The 21,695-nt window shown below is 37.3% G+C and overlaps 1 protein-coding gene across 6 annotated transcripts in view; it reads right to left on the reverse strand.

Moving 5' to 3' along the window:
• Positions 1-21,695, reverse strand: part of GRB14 (growth factor receptor bound protein 14) — a 129,066-nt gene that overhangs the window by 31,684 nt on the left and 75,687 nt on the right. For 5 of the 6 annotated variants that reach the window (XR_427085.4, NM_004490.3, NM_001303422.2 and 2 more), the window contains 2 exons: positions 2,914-3,035; positions 904-978 (listed from right to left, as the gene is read on the reverse strand). Coding sequence is in view for 5 of the 6 variants with exons in the window: in NM_004490.3 (NP_004481.2) it covers positions 904-978; positions 2,914-3,035 (197 nt within the window). In the remaining variant the exon portion in view is untranslated. Of the gene's footprint in view, positions 1-903; positions 979-2,913; positions 3,036-15,665; positions 15,798-21,695 lie in introns of all 6 variants that reach the window. The other variant, XM_047444013.1, reaches the window with a different exon arrangement.

Genomic DNA, 21,695 nt, shown 5'->3' on the forward strand with positions numbered 1-21,695 from the left:
ATTAAAAAGCCCACAGAAAAATCCATGATAGCTCTGCCAACCTAATATTTTTAAGGTCAAACAATACTGGAAATATTAAAAGTTGTCTTCATTAAAGATCAGGGGATACTGAGTGGGTTTGGGGATGCATGGGGCTGAGCTCAAACGGCAACCATTATAAAGACATTGCTCAACATTAACCTGTAAAAAACAACTGTAGAGCTTCTGATGTAAAATCTACAAATCTATCGAAAATTAAAGAAAATAACTGAAATTATTCATTTATTGTAATGACAATGTCTTTGAAAATAACCATTTCAAGCCACTGCCAGTTTGGAAGAAATGAGTCCAATAGACACAAAAATAAGGAGATTTTTAATTAGATAACTAGTATTCTTAATTCAGCTAAGAATATTTCACAATTCTATGCAAGGATTTCCATAACAGCTATTACAAACGCTAGTGAATACATTTGCATCCTGTATCTTTTATCTCCTTTCATTTATTTGCTAAACATTTTATTACAAATAGGATTGAGGGTGTTTATTATGAAAGCTGATACTGAGTATCTATTGGTAAGATATCTGTATTTTACAAAGAATTCTGATTTTTCTAAAGACTAACATAATATTTACACACATCACAGAACAAAATTGCAAGTTTCCTTTTAAGACACACATTTTTAAATATGTAAAATCCTTTGACAATTGGCTAAAACTGGGAAGAAGAATATTGTTAAAGAGCTTTATTGATTTAGGACATTCTTTGCCTGGGTGCATTTTTTTTTTAGTTTTACCTCCAGCAAAAAATATTAATAATAATTCAAAGCATAACTTTTCAAAATCTGGGCATGTATAAAAAAGGACTTAAAAGTTTTCCTTCATTATGCTATTATTTATATATGTTAATAAAAATATATTTTACCTGCAAAATCTGTGTGGGGGATATTTCACCATTGGTTTCAGTTGCAAAAGATACCATATGCTCTGGAAAAAAATACTGTCAAAAAGACACAGTTAAATTATCACAAAATTCATGCTAGAAAAGATTCAATTATGACCAATATAGTAATCAAAAGCAAAAGTTCTTTAAACTGGTGTGACTAAAATTCACCCAAAAGTGCTTTTGAAAATGCCCGTCCTTAGACTCTACTCATAGGTACCTTAATGAGAATGTCTGGAGTTGGGCACAAAGATTAGCAAATGCCCCCAGATAATGCTGATGTGGATGGATTCAAGTATCTGGAGTTATAAAACACTGCCCTGAAGTTGACAATGTGCTTGCTCCCACATCTTATTCCTGAGTCCCGCAACCAGCCTATCAGGTCAAAAGGACTATCCATGACATTTTACAAGGAACAGGCTCACAGAAGTACAGAGTTTAGGGTATGCCCAAGGTCATAGCCCACAGCACAGTGGAGGTCAGGACTTAAACTGGGCTGGGAGCTAAAAGTCCAGTTCTTTCTACCTACCATTTTTCCAAACTTTTTAATCATAAAATTCACCCAGGGCAGTTGTTTAAAATAGGAATTCCCAGGCCTCATTCCTGGAGTTTCTGATTCAGTAGATCCGGGCAAGTCCTGGATTCTATGTTTTTAATAAGCACTCTCCCCTCAGTAAATTTTATGATTAGACAAGTTTGGGAAAATATATTCTACTATATTTCCTCTAGGACAGGGTTTTTCAACAGTAGTTCTACTAACATTTTGGTCTAATAATTCTGTGTTGAGGGGGGGCACTCCTGCATATTATAGATGTTTAGAGTATTCCTATCCTCTGCTCACTAGCAGCCCTCCCCTCTACTGCCAGTTGTGACAACCAAAAATGTGTCCAGACATTGTCCAATCACCTCCCAGTTAAGAACCACTGCAATAGGTCTACAAAACAAATGTCCAGCCTTGTTTAAATAAAAAATAAATAAAAAACAAGCATTGAACAATATTTCTTTAAATATATCTTTTTAAATTCTTGTCTTTAATAAGGACTCACAACAAAAAGAAACACTTTCTCTTCACAGTTGAATTTATTTAATTTTTATTATGACTAATTTTCTTTGCCAAAGATCATCCCATTATGTTTCTATTAATAGGTTAAGATAAAAGACAACGTGAGAGGTCTTTCAGGGTTTGAAAATATTCTATTATGGTGTGTATCATATATTTTTCATAAAGAATCATTTCAATCCAATTATCATCCAAAACTTAGTGTAAAAATATGCTTCAGCTGCAGAGACAAAAACAATTTAAAATAATGAGCCCAGAGGCTATTCTGACTTTTCTAGATCCCTAGTCTTCATTAGAATGTGACACACATTTATTTTCTTTTAAAGAGAACTACAATGAAAGTAGTATTTACTAGATAATGCACTGGTCTTTATCTCATTTCTACTTAGTTCAAAAATTACTGCACCGAAAACAAAATAATTTGGAATAGCAAGATTCATGTCAATCTTAATTTCTGGCTAAGTTATAATACTCTCAACAATCATTAGTCTGCTTTTACTTTAGAAAGCTATTTAAATTTCCTAAATTCTATAGAAAGTGTTAAGATATAATATTTTGCTTAACACTTGTTCCTAATCTGGGTGAGAACCTATAGAAATTCATTTCCCACATCAAATGTATAATTGTTACCTTTTCACAAAAGGCAAAACTAGGTTTCCTAATACTTTTAAATTAAATAAACCAAATTCATCTCAATTCAGACTTTACCAATACGGCTTTAAAAAGTTTTGCACCTGTGTATCTGAACTTCTGTGTATAATGTTCACTAATCATTGTTAGCATAAGAAATATGGGTATAATTTCAAAGGACCAGAGTCTTCATCTACAATTTACCGAATAGGACTGTATTTTATTTACAGTGACTATCTTCTTCACATAAAATTTAACGGGTTCATTTATTTTCCGTAACTATTAGGAGGGATTTCACTTACCATTGGGTTTTTAAAGAACTCATATTTGGCATAATTTTTTCTAAAGTATAGTTTGTTTTCTTCTTCTATCCCCCAGTTGGATAGCACTTCAATCACCAGTTCGTGGTCTTCTATTGTTCTTTCTGTAAAGAATGTTTCAATGAGTATGTTGACAGATAGACAAATATATATATATATATATATATATATATATATATATATATATATACACACACAGACACATACAAACATATAAAATGTATTACGCATCTTTGTTAAACATAGCAGATTTCAACTTAATTATGAGATAGCCAGATTGATAAAATTTGTCATCAATTTTCAATTACTAATGTTCATTTTTATACCAAAGCAGACTGTTGTCTAGAAAGAAAAAAATGTATAAAATATCATAATGTACTTTTTGTTATCTCAATTTCCTTTTATTACTGTGTAAATAATATAAGTTTGATAACACATCTGCATTAAGTATATGGGAACTATTTTTTTCTCTGACTCATCATGGTGCCAAAACTAAAGTATTTATTTCAAGGTTGGACAATTCACCTCATTAAGAGATGAAGAATTTTGACAGGTTCATGTGCATTTAAGACTGTCCAGACTAATCTGGATAGCTGAGAAGAATTAAAATAAATGCTTTAAAGGAAAATTTTAATACAAGAAGATACAGGTTTTTTTTAAGAAGCCCAATTCCTTGGGGCACTTTATACTTTCAAAGCTAATACCAAGGAAAATATATTTTGTATTAACAATGAAGATAATTAAGTGGGTGGGAAGGCACTTGGCAGAAAAGGCACTTAAATGAAGTAAGCAAAGGCAGTTTTAAAGAGGTGACTATAACATGCGAAATTCCTATTTTTATAAGAAACTGTGAGGATGTTGACAGTAGTATTATTCATAATAGCCCCAAACTTGAAACTACCCAAATGCCCACTGACATGAGAATGAACAAGTAAATTGTGTAAAAGCACACAGTGAAAATATACTACAACAACCCACAACAGTATGGATAAATACTGCATTTCATGAACACAATATTTAATTAAAGAATCCAGACACAGATAGTATATACTGCATGATTCTACTTACATAAGGTTCAAAACAGCAAAATTAATCTACAGTGCTAGAAAGGGTTTTGGAGACATTAAGTAAGTGGGGGCATGAACGGAATCACTGGGGTGAGTACAATACTGTTTCTTGATCTTGGGGTTGGTTACTCCAGTATATGTAATATCTGAGAGTCCATTGAGTTGTGCACACTTGGTTTGTACACTTTTCTTAATGTATGCCATACTTCAATAAAAGGTGGAGAAAAGAAAAGAAACTGGAAATTACCAATGCAAAATAGGAAATGGAGAACAACCAAATAAGGAATATGGAAACTCTCTGCTGTTTTACTGTTTCTAGGATGTTTTTAAAAAGCATTTATGTCTCAGAAATTCAACATTCAGTAGTGATTTGTGACCTACAACACCCAAACTCTTGAAAGTAATATCATTCTTAAATAGACATTTATTCATCCAAAAAAGAAGTTCAGTTAAGAGTGTTCAATGAATATGGATGAGTTTGAGCTAAGTATATATCAACACTTGGGGTTCTATTCCTAACTCTGATTGCTCCTTTTCTATCCCATCGACTGGCTCCACTAGCTCCTTCTCCTCCTACAATCTTGGTTCAACTCTTTTCTTTCTCCCCCTATAAATTAATCCATTCTCACCTCTTCAACCATCTAATTTGTCAGGTTTTCTGAAGTGAAATCTCTGGCTATAATTGTTCTCACCCATGCTCCTGTCCTAACTACTATACTGTGCACCACCTCAAATACAGTATGTCTAAAACCAAAGTCAAAATATTACACATAAAATTACCATAGGATCAGCAATTTCACTTCTGGCTGTTTACTCAAAAGAAGCGAAAGCAGGGACTCAAACAGAAATTTGTATACCAATGTTCATAGCAACATCATTCACAATAGCCAAAAGGTGGAAACCTAATGTCCATGTCCATGAACAATGAATAGATAACAAATGTGGTATACGCAGTACCTACAATGGAATATTCAGCTTTAAAAAGGAATGTAATTCTGACACATGCTACAACATAGATGAACCTTGAAGCTATTTTGCTAAGTGAAATAAGACAAATACAAAAGAACAAATGCTGTATGATTCCACTTATACAAGGTACCTAGAATAGTCAAATTCATAGAGATAGAAAGTAGAATGGTGGCTGCCAGGGGTAGGAGGGAGTAGGGAATAAAGGGTTGTTGTTTAATTGATGCAGAGTTTCAGTATGAGAAAATTAAAATATTTCAGAGATTGATGGCCAGTCGTGATGGTTGCACAACAATGTGAATTCATATAACGCCACTGAACTGTACACATACAAAATTTCAAATGGTACCAAAAAACTTTTTAAACTTAAAAACGAAACAAAGTCATCTACATTTTTCCCTTTCAAATGACTTTTTCTTCCTAAATTATCCCGTCTCCATTACTGTCATTTTTACCACATTCCGTCAAAAAAAGTAGACTACAACTCACCTTTGCAACTTTCTCTACGTCTGCTCCAATATCTTCTACTCCTGAAATTCTCAGATAGCAGGGATTCTTTCTCTGAGTGTCTCTTACACAACAAACAACCCCCACACCAGGTCCCACTGTCACCATTTCAATTTAGACCTTTGCCTTTTGTTGTTCAGCCTAACTAATCTTCAAGCCTCTACTTTCTCATTCTTCTAATCCAACGTGGACACCGATAGCATAGCAAACCTCCTAAAACATGTGTATGAATGTGAACCCTGCCCAAAAAGCTTGTCTGCTTCTGCCTGTTATAGATAAATGCATATAGTCTGGCAGTTAGTTATAACTTAGTCATTTGTTCATCCATTCAACAAATATTTGTTGAAGGTTCACAGTATGTCAAAAACTCATCTTAGGGCTAAAAATTTTGTAGTGGAGAAGACAGTAACAAAATAACTGCCCTCATGAAGCTTTCATTCTAATGGGAATACATGGACAATAAATAAAATGTGAATCATAAAAAGTAGTGGTCTTAATCCATTTTTTGTTGCTGTCAAGAAATACCTGAGGTTGGGTAATTTATATAGGAAAGGGGTTTATTTGGCTCATGGCTATACAGGAAGCATGGTAGCAGCACCTGCTTCTGGTGAGGTCTCAGGAAGCTTACAATCATGCAGGAAGGTAAAGGGGGAGCAGGCGTGTCACACGGCAAGAGACAGCAATAGACATGCCAGGCTTTTTTGAACAACCAGCTTTTGTGTGAACAAATAGAGTGAGAATTCACTCATTACCACAAGGATGGCACCAAGTCATTCACAAGAGACCTGCCCTCATGACCCAAACACCTCCCACTAGGCCCACCTCCAACACTGGGGATCACATTTCAACATGAAATTTGGAGGGGCATATATTTAAACCATAATAGTGGTGATAAACCTTACAGGGAAAAATAGAGCAGCGAAGAGAGAGAAAGTGCTGAGGACAGGGGATAGGAATCCATTTCCATCAGCTTATCAAGAAGGCCTCATTGAGAAGGTAATGTTTAAACAGAGACCTAAAGGAGAAGAGGACAGGAGCCAAGCAGATAGAGAGGAGAAGCAAGAAAAAAAAACCCTTGAGGTGAGAGAAAGGCTGGTATGTTTGAAATACAGCCAGGAGGTTAGTGTGGCTAATGCTGAACAAGGAAAAGGGGTTATCCCAGGAGAAGAAGTTAAGGAAATAATGGGGATGAGATAGTGGGTTGTAGAAAGCCCTGCAGTCTATAGTAAGGGCTAGGCTTTTCCTCTGTGTTAGATGGGAAGTCATTTTGAACACAGGAATAACATGAACTAACAAGTTTCAATAGGATCACACTGTGGAGCAGAAAACTGATTTTAAAAGGCTGAAAGCACAAAGACCATTTGGTAGGCTATTGGAACTAACCCCAGGAGAGATGATGCAGCTTACATTAGCATGGTAGCAGTTGATGTGGTTAAAAAAAATACACAGAATCTTGATGTATTTTGAAGGTAGGGACAACAGAATTCACTGACAAATTGGATATGGAGTGAAAAAGAAAGTACTTGAGGAAGACATCAAGGTTCTCAGCCTTAGCACTTGGAAGGATGTGTTACCAGTAATAAGCTAGAAAAACTGCAAGACAAACTGGAGGGACATCCAGTGATCACTGAGCTACCAAGGGGGAAGTTGCATCCTTAAAAATCTGTCCTTACTTCTGTTTACTTTTCACACAAACTCAGCTGGTATTTTCAAGATTATGAAACACAGGTACACATTATTAAATGCACTATGTGCTAAGCACGGTATCTGTATTCTTTGCAACTGCAGTGGGAGACAATTTCAAGATATCAACAAAGATGCTTGTTTGTTTGTTTGCTTTGCCAACCTGTGTTTCCTTGGACCCATTACCTTCCTCTACCTCTAAGAAAATAGTATGAATTCTGCCCTCATACTACACTATAAAGAAAGGAAAAAATAGCAAAGAGGCATTTTGTTGTTTTTTTGAGTGTCACAGTAGACTTTATCAATTTTTGACAAATATAATTATTTAGGAAGAAGCATGCCTAGTCAATCCTCCATTGTCACTTGTGGGGACCCACCCTCTGCCCTCTGAGAAAGGAGGCAGAGTTAAAGGGTTATTGAAGGAAACTGGTGGAGTGGATGGAGACTGTGAGGGAACTAGATGGTAACTGGATGGTGTAGGTCCCAAGTGACCCCATATCCTGCCTCCTTCCTGAACAGAACCCTCTATGAGTTGTAAGACTCCGGATAGGTTTAACAGTGGTATGTGGCTCAAATCAGAGCATAGACTTAGGAAAGTCTATACCCTGCCCTTAAATAGAAGCCCTTCACCAAGCATGACAGAGAAGCAATAGCTAAGTACAATGTCAAGTCCACAGCATCCCAGTACGGGGCAAGAGTATTGTAGTGCCACATTCCTGAGAAGAAATGTGGAAGGACTAAAGGAAGACCATGAACCTAAGGGTCATCATGATATAAGCAATAAGCTTAAAAAGCAGGAGTTTCTACAACATGAAGACAACAGTTGGATAAAAGTTAGACAGATATCCCTCTGGGGATTTACATGTCCCAACAGAGTGCTGGAGGAGTGAAGGTAGGTCTAAACCTTCAACTGAACACATTTCAAACGTGTATGGAACTCATTGATAAAAACTGCATTGATTATTTTCCCCAAAAAGACTAAGAACAATCCAGAGAACAAACAAATAATAGAAGAATAACCTGTCTGTTCTTAAGCCAGGTTACTCAGTATCAGAAACTAATTCAAAATACAGTAATTTCTGCATGTCTGAGTCTGACAGCTGTTTCATTATTGTATTTAATTCTTATAATACCTATAGTAAGCTAAATAATGGCCCTAAAGATATCAGGTCCTAATCTCTAGAACCTGTAAATGTTGCCTTATGTGGTAAAGCCTCTGCAGATGTCATTAAATTAAGGATGTTGAAATGGGGGGAATATCCTGGATTAAGGTAGGACCTAAATCCAATCACATATATCCTTTTAAGACAGAGGCAGGTGATTTAACACAGACAGAAGAGGAAAAGCAATGTGATCAGGGAAGCAGAGGTTCAAGTGAAATCATCACAAGCCAAGGAATGCTAGTAGCCAAGAGAAGCTGTTAACGGGCAAGGGGTGGAATCTCCCTAAGGTTCTTGGAAAGAATGTGACTCTCCAGAACTGTGAAAGAATACATTTCTATTTTTTAAGCCACCAAATTTGTAATTTGTTACATAAGCCTTAGGAAATCAATATAATAATGTAATAAGCAAGTTATAGTTCCATTTTACAGATAGAAACAGAGGTTCAGAATAGCCATGTATATGGACCCACCCTCTGCCCTCTGGGAAACGAGGCAGAGTTAAAGAGTTATTGAAGGAAACTGGTGGAGTGGAGACTGTGAGGGAGCTGGATGGTAATTGGATGGTGTAGGTCCCAAGTGCCCCCTCTTGTAGGTCCCAAGTGCCCAGGTTGAATGACAACCACATGTCTGAGCCCAAGTTGATGTTCTTTTCCCTGCACACATTGCTTCAACTTCATGGAAGTTCTCACCCAAGGGACATTCCCTAGCGCCTCTGCTGGATCTATTTACATCCTGCACATTCTGTCTATATCAACTAAAATTGCTCTTTCATGCTCCTGCCGTTCTCTACCTTAGTTGTTTCCAATTCTTTTTTTTTTTTTTTTTTTTTTTTTTGAGATGGAGTCTTGCTCTGTCGCCCATGGTGGAGTGCAGTGGCGCAATCTCGGCTCACTGCAAGCTCCGCCTCCCGGGTTCACGCCATTCTCCTGCCTCAGCCTCCCGAGTAGCTGGGACTACAGGCACCCGCCACTGCGCCCGGCTAATTTTTCCTATTTTTAGTAGAGACGGGGTTTCACCATGGTCTTGATCTCTTGACCTCGTGATCCGCCCGCCTCGGCCTCCCAAAGTGCTGGGATTACAGGCGTGAGCCACCGCGCCCGGCCCCAATTCTTTTATTTTGAAAGGTATTCAATAAATATTTGCTAATTAACTGAAAGTAAATCACATTTTAAGTGTAAGGGACAAAACAGTAATGGGCAAGATTTCAAATTATGTCAATCTTCAAAGTACAAATCATTTGAATTTGGACTGCATCAAAAAAGAAAATAAAACAAAAAAGGTTGAAAAATCAAACTACATTTGAACAGCTATGACAAATGTGTAACTAAAGAACTAAGCAGGTTCGGTGGCTCATGCCCATAATCCCAGCTACTCAGGAGTCTGAATATAAAAAAGAACTAGCGTAATGTGTATGGTTACCAAGAAGTGGAATCTAGTCAGGGGTTTTGTTGACTACATGCAAATAAAAACCAGAATACCAATCTTGAAAAAATAAAATAAAGGATAAAAGATTTGCAGAAAATGTCACAGAACTATAAAACTGAGTATTTACATACTGCAATTACTAGCACTAGGAAAATAATCTGGTAATCTTAAGAAAAATACATCTTTTAAAAAGCCATCAAGAAATAGAGTATGTGAGAAAGCCAAAGACATACATTCCATTCCTTCGAAAAAAGATTTCTAGTACTATTCTATCAAAAATTCAGATAACATATTAAGGAAGCTAATAAAAGTCAAGTGGATTGAATGCAGCTATAGTTTTTTACCTTATATACTAGCCTGGTAATGAAGATATAATTTTCTTATTGTAGAAACTGATTTTTAGAAATTATATTACATATTCTTTTTAAATTTATATATCACCATCCCAATTTGCATGAATTGTACCTTCCCCCAACCAATCTCATTATGTTAAAGGATTAATGTTACAATAATCCAAATAACCCTGGGAGGCATAATTGAATATCAGTTAATCACATCTCACATAAAATTAGCATTTCTTTTTTCAATGCAGATATCTGACTAAATACAGGCCCTAGTAGACAGAAAATTCAACAGGAATATACAAGATGACTAGATGGACTACTTTGAGAAGAAAATAAAAACGCTGCAAAAGGAGGTGAAATGTTGCTGAAGACCAACTTTCTCTTGCCTTGGTCTAGCCAAAAAACACCATCACCAAGACCTAAGAAAAGGGAAAACAAAACAAAACACTAAAACAAAAGGCCTTTAATAAACTTTCTTGGACCTTTCTCCTACCAAGCAAATTTTAACCAAGTAAGTAATCCTACTAAGTTATTTATCATTTATTTCAAATATCAAAAAGGAACAATATGAATTCTACAACTAGGGGCTCTTTGCTGCTATGTTCAAAACCCAGAATGAACTCAGGTACTTTTTGAATTACCATTTGAGAAGTGACCACAGGTAGGAATCACATGAATTCAAAATTATTATTTTAGACTTTATTTTTAAAACTTTATAAAATCCATCTAAAATACTATAATAAAACATGTTATTAAAACTTCACAGATACAAGTCTATTTAAAATAAAACTTTCTGACGTTATTTTTCGGGCATTGGAAAGTAAATTACAATTGTCAACTACCACTCATATGTAGGTAGAAAAATAGGAGGGAAGCCCTCTTAAATTACTTCAACATAGCAATCAAGAAGATGGAAAAAGAAAAGCTTCAAAAGCATTTTAAAGGCTTTTTCAAAACAAAAACAAAAATTTCCTATTGCCTTAAGTTGTGTTTTTTGTTTCTAATAGGTCAGTGAGGTCTTATGGTAATAAAAAGAAATATTACCAAATAATGATAACTACATGTAATTCTGTTTTTGAATTTTCAGAAACTCTTTCTTTAAAAAAAGAAAAAGAAAAGAAAAAAGAAGAAGAAAGCAAGAAGTTTCTTCTGAAACTGTTGATTTAACATCAAAGTCTTTTTAAAAACCTCAATCCTCCAAGAATGGAGAGTGCTCACCTGTGACCTTCTGCCTGGATTTCTTTGCTGAATCTACTGCCAAGTACAGCGTGGAGCTCAAATAGAAACCTGAGTCCCTACTCTTCTCTCACTTGATAAGAGAAGAAACAAAAGTGGCTTTTACCTCTAATTCGCTCAGAAAACAATTTTTTGAATACCTTTTTTACAGGAAACTCCAGGAGACAAATGGTCCTTGTACTTCTCTATGCTGGGTAGAAACTACATACATTTTGTCAATCTTATTTTCAGATAAAAATGAACAGCCTCTGGCCAAGCAAAACAAAAACTGGAGAAGCAAAGAATAAAACACAGCTCAATTTCTAAAAGGTTCCTTAACCTAAGAATACTACTTAATACCAGCAGGATCCCTCAGAAAATTGCCATCAGACACATTCAACTCCCCAAGTGCAATAATAGGAAAATTGTGACACTTCAGCTTGATGGCTATAAAGCCCTGCAGTTCATTCTTCTGCGAGGGGAAATAGTCTCCAATTAACTCCGACCCAACCATTGGAACTTATATTCAGAGGCAGCCTTATTTTTCCACAAAAATGCCTGCATATATATGATCTCGAGTTGACTGGGTAAATATCTGAAGAGCTTACAGACAGCTTCCATTAATTCGAAGGTTCTCACAGCATTCTTTGAGGACTCAAGAGTAAATTCTATCTGAGCACAGCATGTGATTTCTTTGGCTTCTTTTCCAAGCCTATTCCTTCTATGTACTTTGTAATCCATCCTTTTAATTTTTTGATATAAATGCCTTACAGTTTAGTATGACTTAGTTCCAAACACATTTATTTGTCTTAGACCCTGGGTTACAAAGATGCAGTGTACAGAGAGTCCCAGCTCCATGGAATTACTGTCTAATTTTAATAATTTGATCACTGTTAAGATAGTTGTAGAAACTGTTACAGCAGCAAAGAAGATGTGTATTTTGTCCAACTTGGGGCTTCAGAAAGATGTCTGAGCTAAGGCTTTAAAAATCTCTTTAAAAGTTTTTAAAATTGTGTTTATTTCTTTTTTCTGATTATTAAAATAATACATTCCATTAAAGGAAATTTTACAAATACAGATAACTTACAATCACAATACATCTTTAAACCTGTCAATCAGGAATAAGCACCTAACCTTTCAGTATATTCCTTTCTTGTCGTTTTCTCTTGCTCTATATGAGTGTATGTGTATATACTTTTTATAATATTAGAAAACATCATATGTTTATGCACTGATTTTATTCAATCGTCACCACAACCTTACATTTACCCACATCAGTCTTCAAAGGAAGAATAAAAGCATGATCAAAAGCTGCATAACATTACAACCTATGGATGTACTATAATTTATAACATTCTCCTTTTATACTGAGGTTTTACTTGTCTAGTTAATTGATATTATAAACAATCTACTTTGAACAACCTTGTATCTAAATCTTGTCCACACGGCTTGTTTCTCACACCCACCTATATAGTATGTCCTGTGGAAGCATCACCTCCCAGGACACAATTCATCACTAACACTCTTAGTGCCTCCTGCAGCTCTCTGCTGTTTTCAGGATTTGCAATTGCCCAAGGGGTGTATGAGTACGGACGGTGGCAGCAAGCATCCTGATCATCTCAAGGAACAGCCCTGGAGCAGCAGCAGCAGTTTGCGCCATGCAGTCAGGCAAGTGTAAGAGGCAGGTGTGTCTCCCGGCCTGCTGTCAGATAGATGGAAAGGGTGATTCTACTTCACAAGGCTGAGCATGGGATGCCTCCAACTGCTTTTCTCTCTCCACTCTCCCTGGACAGTGGCACTACGTTACCTATCAGTCAGCTTGGACAGCTCAGAGTTTTCATCTTTATTGCCATAAGTATTTTTAAGAAAAGGCTGGGGTTTTACTTTCCTGACATTTTTAACTAAAATAACTAAGCCCTGGAAGATACATAGCAGTTAGCCAAGTAAAGATGGACAGGAAGGGGTTTCCTGTGACTCTTAACATCACAAACAAGAAAACTGAGTAGAAACTGTAGTATATGCAGGCATCTGCAGGCAGTTCTCTAATGTATAAACTAAAAGGAGGGAGGGGTGAGACATTAAGACTGCAGCTATGAAGGGCAGACAGGTCACAAGATGCTACAAGCCCCACAGAGGACCTTGGATCCAAATGCAAAAAGAATCAGGTCTGCATTCAGATGGATAATGTTGGTACTACCAGAGGCAGGAGGACCAGTTGTGAGGCTAACATAATACCTGAGGGGAGAGATGCTCGGACCTGAATTCATGTAGCCGAGGCTATAAGAATATGTAGAAGAAAAAATCAGCTGAATCAGAAGCAGATTTAGTTGTGGGCACTTACTATCTTTGCTAGTTACATATTGCCCATTTCCGGTCTGTGCGTGCCACCAGGACACCATGTCTCCTGAAAGCCCAGAGGGTCAGGGCACATGGTTCTCTTTATGGAAGGAAGCACAGTGCCACATGTCCCAAAGGCTTCACAATGATTTCTGCTGTGATGAGGGTGGTCACAACTCTGATGGCTGGTATGTTATAAACTGCACAGGAAGTCCAACTACATGTCAGCTCCAGAAGAGGAAAAACACTTGTACTTCCTTTGTTAAAAAAAAAAAAGAGCGAAGGAGCAGCTTCCAAGCAGGAGGCTGTGAACCATTCCCTCACTGTCACTGTGCATCGCTTCTGTCTTAAGGCGATCACGTGGGCATAGCTGCACACATTAAAATGGTTTCATTAAAAGCCTCCAGTCATTCATTTTGCTTATTAAAGCCACTCCACAATGATATTCACAATGGAAATCTCAGCTGTCCCTAGCAATGATACTAAAATACAATTAATTCCTCTTCCCGAGGAGTCTGTAGGTATGCGCTTGAGGTATTGTGTTAATTGCCACTGCTTCATACCATGGCTTCAATTAGGAATCAGAATGGGAGCAAGACAAACATGGATCCCATTAAGTTTCAGAGGACTTGAAGCTAAAGTTTTTCCCCCACCCTACTCTTACATTGATTATAACAGCACAGAGGATTCTATCTGGGGAACTATAGTGACATCCAGTGGCTGTGAAGCAAACCACACCAGTTGCAAAACCTGGTTTACTACATCATGAAAGGAGAAATATTTGTTGATGTGCTGACATTTTAAATTCAATGTCTGTCAAAGTGTGTGTACAAGTAGAACCATATAATAATATGATCCAAAATCAGGCCATTCAGAGATTCATAACAAAATCAAGATATTTAGTTGTCTTCCATGACTGACTCTGCCTATTAAAATTCTCAGCAGCCATATATTAATAATTACAGGTAGAGGATATGAAACATGGACATTGCATTCAAAGTTCCAAACATAGTATTATTATACAATTCATGTTTTGTACAAATTCAAAAACAGGTAACTTTTAGCATGATTCTCTCTCGCTCAGCCAAAATAAATATCTGGCTCTGCTATAAGGTGAACTGGGTTGGCTCAGTTCAATCTCAGTAATTTCATTACCACCTGGGTTAGGAACGTTTATACGAAAGTTTTCCTGGTGGTTTGCAATTTAAATTATAGCATTCCTGAGAGAGATGTAGAGTGAGACAGAGGCAAACCGACCGCAGAATCTCAGGAACATTTGCTTGAAATATTGTGGTGGGAAGAAACCAACTTGCTTCAGTGGAAAATGCAGATTACAGAATCTAATGGAATCTAGATCTTTGTATTCCTGCATGTAAATGGATATTAAAATACATACTCTATGCACACTAGTAGTAGCTATCACACATATGCATTTATATTAAAAATACTAATAACGGTCGGGCGTGGTGGCTCACGCCTGTAATCCCAGCACTTTGGGAGGCCAAGGCAGATGGATCACTTGAGGTCAGGAGTTCAAGACCAGCCTAGCCAACATAGTGAAACCCCATCTCTACTAAAAATACAAAAATTAGCCAGGCGTGATGGTGCACGCCTGAAATCCCAGCTACTCAGGAGTCTGAGGCGCAAGAATCACTTGCAGCTGGGAGGCGGAGGAGGCAGTGAGCCAGTATCACATACTGTACTCCACCCTGGGCGACAGACGGCGACTCCATCTCGGAAAAAAAAAATACTAATAAGATTGAAGTTTCCTTTGCCACAGAAAATTTAACTCTGAAATTAGACTTCAGGTTCAGGAACTTACCACATTTTGAATTTCAAGTATTCCCCCTTCTGCTTTTAGTAGCTTGTGATATGGTTTAGACAGATGAGAAGCAACGATAGTAGCATATGTATTCACAACTCGGAATGTCTCTGAAACTGGCCTAAGCTTATCTTGGTCACTAAAAGTGAGCTAAAGTGCAGAAAACCCTCAACTCTCATCTATCCTATAAGTCAAAATATCCTTACCTATGAGGCCTCAGGATCTCACAAACACTAAATCTCATAAACAGACCACGTGTGAAGATGGTACAATGGCTGCATGTACAGCTAGTAGAAATGACAGATAGGTGGGGATCATTCCAGGGAGCCACAGGTAGTCTGATGGAAAAGCAAAATAAAAGGTCAAATCTTGCATTCTGGTCTCCTTAGTAGTATACTTTTAAAACTAAATCACATCATATTCTTCTCTGACTCAAAGACCTCCCCTTGCTTTTTCTCTCACTCAGTGTAAATGCCAGGCCCACTTCTTGGCCTATGAGACCCTACACGATCTGGTCCTGGGGCAACTCTGTGATGTCCTCTCCCATTACCTTCCACCTTATTGACTCCACTCCAGGTGCAATGGCCCCTAGGCTGCTTCCTGAACACAAGCACACTGCCACGTCCAGGCCTTTCCACTTGCTGTTCCCTCTGTCTAGAACAATCTTCCACTTAATTGCACAGCCTGCCTGCTACGTGCTTCATTTCTCTACTCAAACATCACTCCGTCAGGGAGGCTTTCTCTGATGCCTCTTTAAAGTGCATCTCCCAGCTGGTTGTGGTGGCTCACACCTGTAATCCCAGCACTTTGGGAGTCCGAGGCGGGTGGATCATGAGGTCAGGAGTTCAAGACCAGCCTGGCCAAGATAGTGAAACCCTGTCTCTACTAAAAATACAAAAATTAGCTGGGTGTGGTGTCAGGCTCCTGTAATCCCAGCTACTTGGGAGGCTGAAGCAGGAGAATCACTTGAACCTGGGGGGTGGAGGTTGCAGTGAGCTGAGATTACACCTCTGCACTCCAGCCTGGGGAGCAGAGTGAGACTCGGTCTCTAAATAAATAAATAAAAAATAAAGCACATCTCCCTTCTGCTCTAGCACTCACTCTCCCTCTTTCCTCCTGCTTTCCCTCCCCAGAGCTTATCATCCTCTACGGGATAACAAATATTAGGCCTTGTTTCCTGTCTCTCTCCCAGTGAAAATGCAAACTCACAAGGGCAATACTTTTTGTCTGTTTTGCTCATACTGCATCCCCAGAATCTACAGCAAAATATAGGCTTGGTACAAAATTGTCAATAAATATTTGCTAAACTGTTTGGGTAACGCAGCCAGAGAAGGCAAGAGGAGTTACTGATTTTTGTGGAATCTGTAAAATGACAAGTAAAAAACTACAAATACTCAAGATATATTTTAAGTGCACAAAAGAAAAAAGAAAAAGAAGGTAGTCTATAAGAGTTAATACATATAGCAACTATGTTAAAGTAGAGAAACTGATTAAAGAGTTTTAAAAAATGTTAACATTAGTTATCTCGGTCTTGAAATTATGAATAATTTTGTTTACTTCATGATTTTTGAGGTATTTACAATGAGATAGATTATTTTTGTATTTAAAATATTTTTTAAAATAATAGGCCAGTCGTGGTGGCTCTCGCCTGTAATCCCAGCACTTTGGGAGGCCGAGGTGGGGTGGTTCACCTTAGGTCAGGAGTTCGAGACCAGCCTGGCCAGCATGGTGAAACCCTGACTCTAGTTTAAAAAATACAAAAATTAGCTGGGCGTGGTGGTGGGTGCCTGTAATCTCAGCTACTTGGGAGGCTGAGGCAGGAGAATCACTTGAACTTGGGAGGCGAAGGGTGCAGTGAGCCAAGATTGCGCCATTGCACTCCAGCCTGGGTGTCAAGAGTGAAACTCCGTCTCCAAAAAATAATAATAATAAATAATAATAATAATAACAGAGGCTGAGGCTGGAGGATTGTTTGAGTCCAGGAATCTGAGGCTGCAGTGAGCCATGACTCCACCACTGCACTCCACCTCAGGCAAAAGAGACCCTATCTCTAAAAAAAATTAAATAAATAATTTAAATTTAAATAAATAGATACTATGCCCTTCCCTTTACAATTCTATTTATTTATTTTTTATAATTTCAACTTTTATTTCAATTCAAGAAACACACACACATATATATATATGCAAGTTTTTAACATGGGTATACTGTGTGATGCTGAGGTCTGGATACAATCGCACCCGTCACCCAGAAAGTGAGCACAGTACTCGACAGTTAGTTTTTCAACCCTTCCTCCCACCTCTTCCTCCCCTAGTAGCCCCCAGTGTCTATTGTTGCCATCTCTATGTCCATGAGTATCCAATGTTTAGCTCCCACTTAATACGGAACCCAAAAAGAGACCAAGTAGTCAAAGTAATCCTGAGCAAAGAAACAAAGCTGGAGGGGTCACATTACCCCACTTCAAACCATATTATAATCCTACAGTAATCAAAACAGCATGATACTTGTACAAAAACAGACATATTGACCAATGGAACACAACAGAGAACCCAGAAATAAAGCCATACTCCTACAGCCATCTGAGCTTTGACAAAGTTGACAAAAATAATCAATGAGGAGGGGACTCCCTATTCAATAAATGGTATTGGGAAAACTGGCTAGCCAAATACAGAAGAATGAAAGTGGACCCCTACCTTGCACCACATACAAAAATTAGCTCAGGACGGATTAAAGATTTAAAAGATTAAAACCTAGGAAACACCATTCTGGACAACAGCCTTGAGGAAGAATTTATGACTATGTCCTCAAAAGCAATTGCAACAAAAACAAAAATAGACAAGTGGAACCTAATTAAACTAAAGAGCTTCTGAACAGCAAAGGAAACTATCAACAGATTAAACAGACAACCTACAGAATGGGAGAAAATATTTGCAAACTATGCATCCAACAAAGGTCTAATATCTAGAATCTATAATGAACCTAATTCAACAAACAAAAAACAACCCCATTATAAAGTGGTGAAGGACACGAATCAACACTTCTTGAAAGAAGACATACAAGTAGCCAACAAACATGAAAAATTCCTCCACATCACTAATCATCAGAGGAATGCAAATCAAAACCACAATGAGATACCATCTCCCATCAGTCAGAATGGCTATCATCAAAAGTAAAAAAAACAGCAGATATTGGCAAGGCTGCAGAGAAAAGGGAATGCTTATACACTGCTGGTGGAATGTAAATTAGTTCAGCCACTGTGGAAAGTAGTTTGGAGATTTCTCAAAAAATTTAAAAAAGAACTATCATCCAACCCGGCAATCCCATTACTGGGCATACATCCAAAATAAATAAAAAGACACCTGCACTCTTACATTCATTGCAGCACTATTCACAATAGCAAAGACACAGAATCACTAACAGTGGACTGGATAAAGAAAATGCAGTACATATAGGCCAGGCATGGTGGCTCACACCTGTAATCCTAGCACTTTGGGAGGTCAAGGTGGGTGGATCACCTGACCTCAGGAGTTGAATTCAAGCCTGGCCAACATGGTGAAACCCCATCTCTACTAAAAATAAAATTAAAAAAAAAATAGCTGGCTGTGGTGCCATGTGCCTGTAATCCCAGCTACTCTGAAGGCTGATGCACAAGAATAGCTTGAGCCCGGGAGACGGAGGTTGCAGTGAGCTAAGATCGCGCCACTGCACTCCAGCATGGGAGACAGACCAAGACTCTGTCTCAGAAAAGAAAAAAAAAAAAGTGGTACATATAAATCATGGAATACTATGAAGCCATAAAAAAAAGAATGAAATCATGTCCTGCATAAAAAGAAATAAAGCCACACTCCTACAGCCATCATGGATGCTGGACTCCCTATTCAATAAGGGCATTATCCTAAGCAAGTTAACACAGGAACAGAAAACCAAATATAATTTTATTTATTGAAAATTCATCATTTTGGACAAAAAGAGTGCAAGAATGGTTCTTAAACAATATGCAGAGCCGACTAGCTGATCACTAAAGTTCTGGAAAATAGTTCATCCTTTGGTTCTTTACATCAGTAGCACTCACAGAAGACTTGCAGTAAAGATGTCAGCGGTTTATTCTGTTAACAAAGAGTATCTGTAGCTGCATATCACATTTAAGGAGAAAAAAACCACTGTAGTTCTTTCCATTCATTTAAATATGCAAATTAAATTGAACATTTTACTTCCTACCACAATTAGACTGAATAGATATTGCAAGATTATAATAAACTAAGCAAAAAGGCAAAACTAAAACAAAAAACATTTTAAAGACAAAACTGTTTATATTTTGTGCTGAGGAAGATGACAGTACCTCAATAGTGATTACTCTCCTCTTACATCGGTAAAGAACTGGAAGCTATTAAATCTAATACATGTTAGTTTTGGGGTAGCATTAATGTTTTCAATTGTTCTGTTTAAACATATAATCTGAGTGAAAAACCAAAGGAAAACAAAAACACAAGAAGGCTCTGGAAATAAAATTCTTTCTTATGAGCTTTGGTCTAATGCATGGTTGATGAAGTCATGAGAATATGCTCATATCTTTGATTTTATTTCAGCAGTTTCCAGAAAATACAGTAATAAAGAAATAAACTTCTATTGCTACTTGATGCCTAAAAGTTTAAATTTAGTATGTGGATCAAATTAATTCCCAGTGTTCCACTTTCAGCTTTTGCATTAAAAGACCTGTGTGTTTTATTCCTTAATACAAATAATTTGCAGTGTTCTCAGGGAAAAACACTTCTTGATTTACAGAGCAGATTTTTATTACTGAACTGCAAAGCTATTTGTTAGAGATAAATGGTAGTGACTATAACAAAAAAAAATTTAAGTCCCCCCGAAAGAAAAATTTAAGAATATAAAATACTGTAATAATATATTATGCTAATTAGGAGCTAAATGAAATAGCTTGGAATAGGGCAGATATCTATTGAGAATTAACACCATACTTCTAGGAGATTAATTATCATGTATAGAAGTTAAACTAGTCACAAGTGGCAATGAAGAAAATATATGTTGAGCCTCTTCTGTCCTAGAAGATGAGGCAACAAGTCATATTGGCCAGTATGACATACCTTTAGAAGCAAGCGTCCTTGGCAGGTTGATAACTATCTAGGCTGAGCTGTCAAAGTCAGTTGCACTATTGTAGCTCATCAGCTATCAGCTGAGGATACCGTGGAACAATTCTAGCTTCCTCTCCACAGGCCTTACTCTATCCCCTTCACGAGGTTCTGACATGTCCTAGGACACCAGTTGTCAAATCAGAAGTACAAACATTTTCTAAATGGTTCAGGGAATGCATGTAGTGTTCAAAAAAACCACTTCCCAAATCTTTAAAAAATGAATCCTTCTAAGAACACACCTTTTCTGCCAAAATCATTTTTAATTCCATTTCATAAGAGAAAGGATGTTCATTTGAACAGAACCTTTCATTGGCACATTGCTCTGAGGCATAAACTCTTGAATGCATCAAACAAAGGGACGATTTTGTATATTGGCAGCTATGCTAGAAAGTAAATGACTCTAATGACTATGTATAAAATTCTTTCACAAGTCTGAACAAATTGAAGCAACTAATGGAGCTGTCACTGATAAATTATTTAAAATGATTTTGATGATTTCTTACTAAAAGTTGTTAAACATATAATGCAATGAAGTTTGTGGCAGGCTGAACTATAGCCCCCGAAAGATAACCACATCTTAATTCCTAGAACCTGTGAATGTCACGTGGAAAAAAAATTTTGCAGACAGTATTAAATTAAGGATCTTGAAATGGAGATTATCCTGAATTATCTGGGTGGGCCCGAAATGTTACCGCTTTTATAAGAAAGAGGGAGACTTGACACAGACAGAAGAGCAGAAAGCAATATGACCACAGTGGCAGAGATTAGGTGATGCAGCCACAAGCCAACAAATGCTGGCAGCCACCAGAGCTGGAAGAGGCAAGAAATTAGAGCTTCCAGAGGACACACATCCCTGACGACACCTTGATTTCACTCCAGTGATATGGATTTCAGTCTTCTGGCCTCCAAAATGTGAGAATAAATTTCTGTTGCTTTAAGACGAGTTTGTGGTAATTTGGAACAGCAACCACAGGAAACTAATAAGGAGTTCAAAGAATCGAATGACACTGCCATAACGAACTCCTTCCTGTCTTATCTACTTATATGTAAACATGTTTTGAAAACAAATCTATAAAAATAAGAAAT

Source organism: Homo sapiens, chromosome 2 (genome assembly GCF_000001405.40).
Source record: "Homo sapiens chromosome 2, GRCh38.p14 Primary Assembly".
Lineage (NCBI taxonomy): Eukaryota > Metazoa > Chordata > Mammalia > Primates > Hominidae > Homo > Homo sapiens.